This window comes from Homo sapiens, chromosome 15, assembly GCF_000001405.40.
Source record: "Homo sapiens chromosome 15, GRCh38.p14 Primary Assembly".
NCBI classification, from domain to species: Eukaryota; Metazoa; Chordata; class Mammalia; order Primates; family Hominidae; genus Homo; species Homo sapiens.
In genome coordinates this window covers 45,943,228-45,950,907 of record NC_000015.10, presented here as the reverse complement: position 1 = coordinate 45,950,907, position 7,680 = coordinate 45,943,228, and the positions used below count along the sequence as shown (strand labels likewise).

At 41.5% G+C, this 7,680-nt stretch overlaps 1 annotated feature.

The window, feature by feature from the left end:
- Nucleotides 2,049-2,795: an enhancer, noted in NCBI's record as "NANOG hESC enhancer chr15:46240311-46241057 (GRCh37/hg19 assembly coordinates)". NCBI's record gives its function as "activates a minimal SCP1, AML or CMV promoter by ChIP-STARR-seq in naive and primed H9 embryonic stem cells {active_cell/tissue: H9 hESC(naive and primed)}" and the evidence as "EXISTENCE:reporter gene assay evidence [ECO:0000049][PMID:30033119]".

The window sequence follows — 7,680 nt, the reverse complement described above, 5'->3', positions numbered from 1 at the left end:
CAGGGACATGAATGAATCTGGAAGCCATTATCCTCGGCGAACTAACACGGGAACAGAAAACCAAACACTGCACGTTCTCACTTATAAGTGGGAGGTGAACAATGGTCACAGGGAGGGGAACAACACTCACAGGAGCCTGTCAGGGGAGGGCAGGAGGTGAGGCGGGGGAGGGAGAGCATTAGGGAAAAGAGCTAATGCATGCTGGGCTTAATACCTAGGTGATGGGTTGATAGGTGCAGCAAACCACTATGGCACATCTTTACCTATGTAACAAACCTGCACATCCTGCACGTGTACCCCAGAACTTAAAATAATTTTTTTTTCATGGAGGTATTAGGAAAAGGCTAGAAATTTGCTCGCCACAAAGCATGGTAGGACTGATGTTGAAACTAACTAATGATTTCAGCGAACTTGAACAAAGGCAGTAGAGTAGTAACAAGGACAATACAAACGTAATAGAGAATTGGGCAGTTGTTGGTTGGTAGCCAGAGGTCCTTGCCAATACAGGGAACACCAGGAAACACAAGCATCAGACCATACTTGCCATCAGGCAGGAAGGCAGTGGCTTTTTCTAAGAAAGCCACCCAAATGCAGGACCCACACAAGTGGGAGGGAGTGAAGGACGGAGGCGGTGCCAGGGGCTGCAGGAAGCAGAGACAAGGCCAAGGAAGGCAGACGGTAAAAGGTAGGCTAAAGGAGCACAGCCACCCATCGGCATTCATGACAAGGCCTGGGTCTTGGTGGGATCTTCAAGCAGAAACCATAAGTGGGAAACTGAGGTAGAACTTGGTTAAAAACAAATATATACCTAGTTGCTCCCCTAACTAAAGTTTCTGAAGTATTTTTCTCCTAGTTTCCCAGCACCGTTAGTTGATTATGAGGTTTCTGGTTGGTTAGGAATATTTTGAAAAGTAAACGGACTCTGTTTATAATTCACAGGCATGCCACATTTTTATTACGCAAATAATTCTTAAAAGGTTTGCTTTCAGCAGTTATCTCAATCAACATAATTAGTTGAACACTAGCTGTGTAAACTAAGCTACGACCTAGGTGTTACAGTGTGAGACAAAGGAAATGAAGATATAGAGAAACTTGCCCTGTACCCCACCCAGCACCCAGCCCCATCAACCATAAATGCAATTGAAAATAAACAAGAGGAAAATGCAAACTCCCCACTGTATTGTGTTCTTTATAATACTAATGCCAAGGTTGTTCAGGCAGCACCAACATGAATCTGAGAGACCCTCAACTGATTCCCAGTTGCCGAGTCAGGAAATGCTTGACTGTGTTTCCCGGAGTTCTGAATGCCTTAAAACAGAAGCCATTTTCCTTACAGGAGAGACAGGATGGAATCTTTCTCTCAATTGAGTTATATTTTTCCTTGCAGACACCAAAGCAGTGCTGCTTATGCTCAAAGATCTCTGAGTTTTTTACGTGAAACTACCGTTTTTACCTACAGTTCACCTATCTTGCACAGAACTAGGAGTCAAGAGGCAAATCCAGGTGATTGCCAGGATAGGACGCCCGGGAGGGATTACTCCTTCCCTCAGGTGACTCCAGATTAGTTACTGGTCAGAGACAAACATCCTTCCTGGGAGGCTCCCATGACATCTGTGTAATAAATTCGGGTAGGTGTGTCTATTAGTCCGTTCTCACACTGCTATAAAGAACTACCTGAGACTGGGTAACTTATGAAGAAAACAGGTTTAATTGACTCACTGTTCCGCAGGCTGTACAGGAAGCATGGCTGTGAGGCCCCAGGAAACTTACAATTATGGCAGACGGTGAAGGGGAAGCAGTCACATCTTACCATGGCAGAGCCGGAGAGAGAGTGAAGGGGGTTGTGCCCTACACTTTTAAACCATCAGATCTCGTGAGAACTCACTCACTATTATGAGAACAACATGGGGAAAATCTGCCCCCATGATCCAATCACCTCCACCCAGGTCCCTCCCCCAACATTGGGAATTACAATTCAGCATAATATTTGGATGGGGACACAGAGCCAAACCATATCAGTGTGCTTCCTCAGTTATGTTCACATGATGGACACAAATTATGCATAAACTGTACTCACCATCCCCCACTCACACCACCACAAAGAGAAGGGTTATCACTTAGTTTTGCTGTCGAGTTCACAAACAAGATATACAAACTTTGCTAACTGCAAATAATCTGGAAAAAGTTTAAGGCAGAGAATATATGAGAGTTGAATCGAGTTATTCAAATATGTTTCACATGTGCGCTGGAGCCTACTGGCTATTTGCTTTCTGGTTCTTTCAGATGTATAGCTTCCTCCATTTCCTTGAATTTTCTCATTCCTCTCAAAACCAGCAGGAGAGCCATTGCTTTGTGTATCTGGTTTTTAAAAGACTCCTTTCTTGCCTTTGACATGGTTACTGCGGTTTCCTAGTCAGGCTTTGAACTGACTTTTCACATGAGCAATGAGATGCTGTGTCCCTTTGAAAAAATATGCTCTCTTTCAAATTACTGCAGTAGCTCTCAGACTCTAGTGTACACTAGAATCACCTGGGGGTGCTCGTTAAAACAGACTGCTGGGCTCCATCCCCACAGTTTCTCATTGAGTAGGTCTGGGGTGGGGCCAGGCAATTTGCATTTCTAACACATTCCCGAGTGACACTAAGGCTGCTGGTCTAGCACTACACTTTTAGAACTACTGCTATAAACCAGCATCAAGTTCCTATGGGTTTCTGAGCCAAGTGGTATGTCACAATCAACACACAAATGGCATCAGGAAGCTAGCATAAGGCATATGCTTGGCTTGTGCATATTTGGTCCCCTCAGAAAGTGTCTCACCTTGAGCCTTCACTTCCTAAGGCACTGTTTCCATGTCTCCTGCCGCCTTTTGTATATGCTGGCTTTGGTGGTGAGAATTAGAAAAGGATCCTTCAGTAGACTTTTCAGATGCCTACCCAATTATCACCCCTCTTCATCTGTTGAACCCAGTGGCTTGAAAAATCTTTAAAACAAAGCTTTAGTGCTGTTTTCAACAAGCTTTACAAAATACAAAATAGCAGACTGCCAGAACAGCCAGACTAAAGTGACAGTAGGTCCCTGGCATCTGCAGGGTCAAAGTGCCTCATTGTCCTACCCAATTTAGTCACTGTTGAGCTCTCCTCATACCTAAGGGGTTACCCAGAACCCCTTAAGGGTTGTTAGAAAACTACTTGTAAAAATAAAGTTTGGATTCAAACTTGGCTTTTTTCAGTTTATCCTAGCAGCCACGACTTTTTAAATAAATTTTAAAACCCCATTTAGTCTCTGAGTAATTGTAACTATATGTTGAGATAAACATCTAGACAATACAGAAATGTTTATTTTTCAAGCAGCAGACATTTATGCTTTGCTCTTGTCCAATTAAACCAAAGGTTTAATGATGTAAATGTGGTCTGGGGCTAAGATCCAATGGAGGGACAATTACAAAACTGCACTATTTTTTAAAAATCACCTTCTAAGTAACCTGGAGAATAGACTTAGTGCTTGAACTACAGGAATCTAGGAAAAGGTGATAGTGTAGAGTTGAGAAATTCTGGCATGATATGATGTCATGTATGTATAAAGCCTTATATTGAGAAAAAAGAGACCAGGCATGTGAAAGAACATTGTGCAACCCATTTGCCTGCGGCAGCCATCTTTGCTGGGACAGGTTCATAGATGCTGTAGATGATTTGCAGATGCTGACTGAGGTTTTCCAAAAGATCCTCTTTCTTTCAGCATCTTCTCTGAAACTATAACTGAATCAAAGACTTACAATATGTTCAACATTCAACAAATATTTATCTAGAATCCACTATGTGCCAAGCACTTAATTAAAACAATACACATACTAACATTTGTTACCACTTAATTTATGTTTTATTGAAAATTCTCTGTTTTACTAGAAAGCCATTCTCCGCCATGACACAATATATCCATGTAACAAATAAGCATTTTATCCCCTGGATCTAAAATAAAAACATTTGTAAAATAAAAAATAAAATTTTCTCTGTTCACCTTAGATTTTAGCACTAGAAGAGTCATTCTAGGCAAATCTAGAACAAGCGCTAGACTACTCACAAACTATCACCTGGGGGAAATCAACCGGAGTTTCTGCTGTCAAACAAAAGACCAGCTGTACCCCACCAGCAGTTCCCAACCTTGAGCACACATCAGAATCTCCCACAGGACTCATTAAACACAGACTACTGGGCTCCAGACCCAAGTTTCTGATTCGGTAAGTCTGGGGTGGGGCCTGCGAATTTGCATTTCTAATAAGTTCCCAGGTGATGCTGATGCTGCTTGGTCCAGGTACCATACTTTGCCTAGAATATAATGATTATTGTCTATAAGTTCTCTGTCTTGCTGGGATGCCCCTTTCCAGGCCCAAGAGCAGAACATTTTTGGGTTTGGGTTTGTTTTTGTTTTGTGTGTGGCTGTTGATGTTTTCAGGTTGCAAGTGTCTTCAGCTCTAAGTCTGTATATGAGTCAAAAAGAAAACTAGGGAACTCATCATTCCCTAAGGAGTCATTCTTGAGCTCTCTAGTCAGCCTCCCTTCTTTTTCTACCCTTCAGAGTCTCATGTTTGCTTTCTCTAAAAATGTGCAGGCTTAATGCTAAGTGAAGTAAGCCAGACACAGAAAGACACATACTGTATTATCTCACTGATTTGCAGAATCTTTAAAAAGTCAAACTTAAAGAAATAGAGAGTAGAATGGTGGTTGTCAGGGCTTGGGGATGGGTAGTGCAGAATGGGGAGATGTTGACCAGAGGGTACTAAGTTTCAGTTAGTAATAGATCTTGAAATACGTTTTCAAGATCTATTGCACAGCATGGTGACCATAGTTAATAATCATGTATATTTCAGATTTCTAAAAAAATACATTTTAAATGTTCTCACCACAAAGAAATACACATTTGAAGTGATGGACACATTAATTAGCTAGATATACTCATTCTACAATGTATATCAAAACATCACATTGGACCCATAAATATGTACAATTATTCATCGGTTTAAAATAAAAATTTAAAAAACTTGAAAATGAAAAACATCCAGGGTATTTATCTGTACTTACCAGGAGAATAGGGAAAAGGACATCTCCATCTTCCTGGAAGCAGAAGTTTCTGGACCGCACTTTGAGAACCACTCCATTAGATGATCTCTGCATCCCTTCCAGTTCTACCCTTTATCATTATACTTTTTTATTTATTTTTTCCTTTTCAGTTGACACATAATAATCATACATATTTATGAGATACAGAGCGATATTCTGATATATGTATACAATGTTTAATGTTCAAATCAGGGTAATTAGCATAACCATGCCCTGAAACATTTATCATTTCTTTGTGCTGTGAACATTCAAAATTCTCTTCTAGCTTTTTGTAAACATATATCATAGTTAGCCTTATTCACCCTACAGTAGTGCATAACACCAGAACTTATTCCTATCTGGCTGTCATTTTTTTGTCCATTAATCAATCTCTCCCTGTCCTCTCCTCCCCAATCCCCTTCCCAGCCTCTAATAACCACAATTCTACTCTCTACTTCCATGAGCTCAACTTTTTCAGCTTCCACATATGAGTGAGACGATATGATATTTATCTTTTGCTTAACATAAAGTGTTCCAGGCTCATTCACGTTGCCAAAAATCACAAGCTTTGATTCGTTTTATGGCTAAATGGTAGTCCATTGTGTATATATACCACATTTTCTTGTTATTATAATTTTTAAAGTGTCTCTGTGAATTCATGAAACACACGGTAGAGCAAACACTCAGCAACATAGAGAAGTGATAGGGCCGGCTCTCTGGGCCTCTCTGTATCCTTTCCTGTGTTCGGATTAGCACCAGATTGATTGGCACTATCAGGTGTGAGGTCTGAGGAGCATCTGCTAACTCCCAGCTGCCAAGCTTCACCTACCACACCTGTGCAGACCGTGCCTCCAAACAAGGATTCTGGTTTCCACTATTTGCTAACCTGAGGCCCATCCTCTGGGGCTTCTTTCTTTTTTTTTTTTTTTTTTTTTTTTTTTTTGAGACGGAGTCTCGCTGTCGCCCAGGCTGGAGTGCAGTGGCGCAATCTCGGCTCACTGCAGGCTCCGCCCCCTGGGGTTTACGCCATTCTCCTGCCTCAGCCTCCCGAGTAGCTGGGACTACAGGCGCCCGCCACCTCGCCCGGCTAATTTTTTGTATTTTTAGTAGAGACGGGGTTTCACCGTGTTAGCCAGGATGGTCTCGATCTCCTGACCTCGTGATCCACCCGCCTCGGCCTCCCAAAGTGCTGGGATTACAGGCGTGAGCCACCGCGCCCGGCCGGCTTCTTTCTTATCAGGACTGATCTGCTAAACCTTTCTATGAATGGTAAAGGTGAGTGCAAAGTGACCATCTACCTCCCAGAAAACAACTTTACAGGAACTTTATTCCTCCTTAACTCAGAGGAGAGATTAACGATGGTTTCGGGTATTTTGAATTGTCCTAGTCAAAACTGGCATCACTTCTTGCCTGGTTTTCACAGTGGCTTCCCAGCTGCTCTCCCCCATACACTGACATCCCCTTCTAATGGCCTTTCAGCCCCCCAAAATCTCGGTGACCTTCTCAAAATGAGATTCGCATGGCTTGCTTGGAACATGTTCATGATGTAGCTGTTAAAACAAATGGTGAAATACATGGTATGTCTGACATGGCCCTGCCCACTGGTCAGTCTCTTCTCATACCACTCTGTGTCCCCTGTGCTCAGACACAAAGACCTGGGTTGGCTTTCTCAACAGCTTCTTTGGCTCTATACTCCTTTCTACTACTGAGCTTTAGCTCTTAGTGCTCATTTTCCCTGAAATGCATTCCCTACTTAGCTAGTTAACTCGTACTCATTCTCCTTCAGATATAAAATCAAGGCTTTTCCTGATCACATAGGCCTGGCCATGCCCTGCTGTTACTCATTTATGCATTGATTTTCCTTCATAGCATCTGTAATCAAATCATCACAAAATTTGTTTCTTTATTATACATGTTATATCACCAGCACCTAGCACAATAGCTGGTACATATGGCATGTTCAATAAATCTCTTGAATGAAGTACATTTGAGCAGGAGAAACTTCCTCAGAAATATCACATCTTAATCACATGTGCTACAAAAAAAGAAAAAAATATATTTGTTTCACTTCAATAATGCCCAGCACAAAGTAGTCACTCAAACATACTGAAAGAGATCAATGATTTCCATATTTTATTTCATTTGCTAAAGAACTAACAGAGTGCTCAATACTCAACATAGCGGATTTTTGCCACTTACAAGAGCTCTGTGTAGAGACCTTGGCTAATCCCTCAACACATGAACAAACCCATAGCATATTATTTACTCCACAAAAGTGTGGTTCAGTGATGACAGATAAGCCTTTAACTCCTCATGCTTCAGTGAAATGACTGTTCCGCCTTCTGACTTTAAGTTGTATTTGCATAGAGACTCAGTCATGAGTTTCCTAGGCTTATCCCCAACCACAGATAACTGCTGGTTAAGCATTCACTAAAGTTTTGTCTTTTATTTGATGAGCCATTGTAGAGTGAACCAAAGCATTCACTGAAAATTTATGAGTCACTTTTTTTGTTCCATCGAGCGCATATGGTAAAGCTAGCTCTGGTCAAGGACAGAATGCTAGCTAAAAATAATTTGGAATAAATTA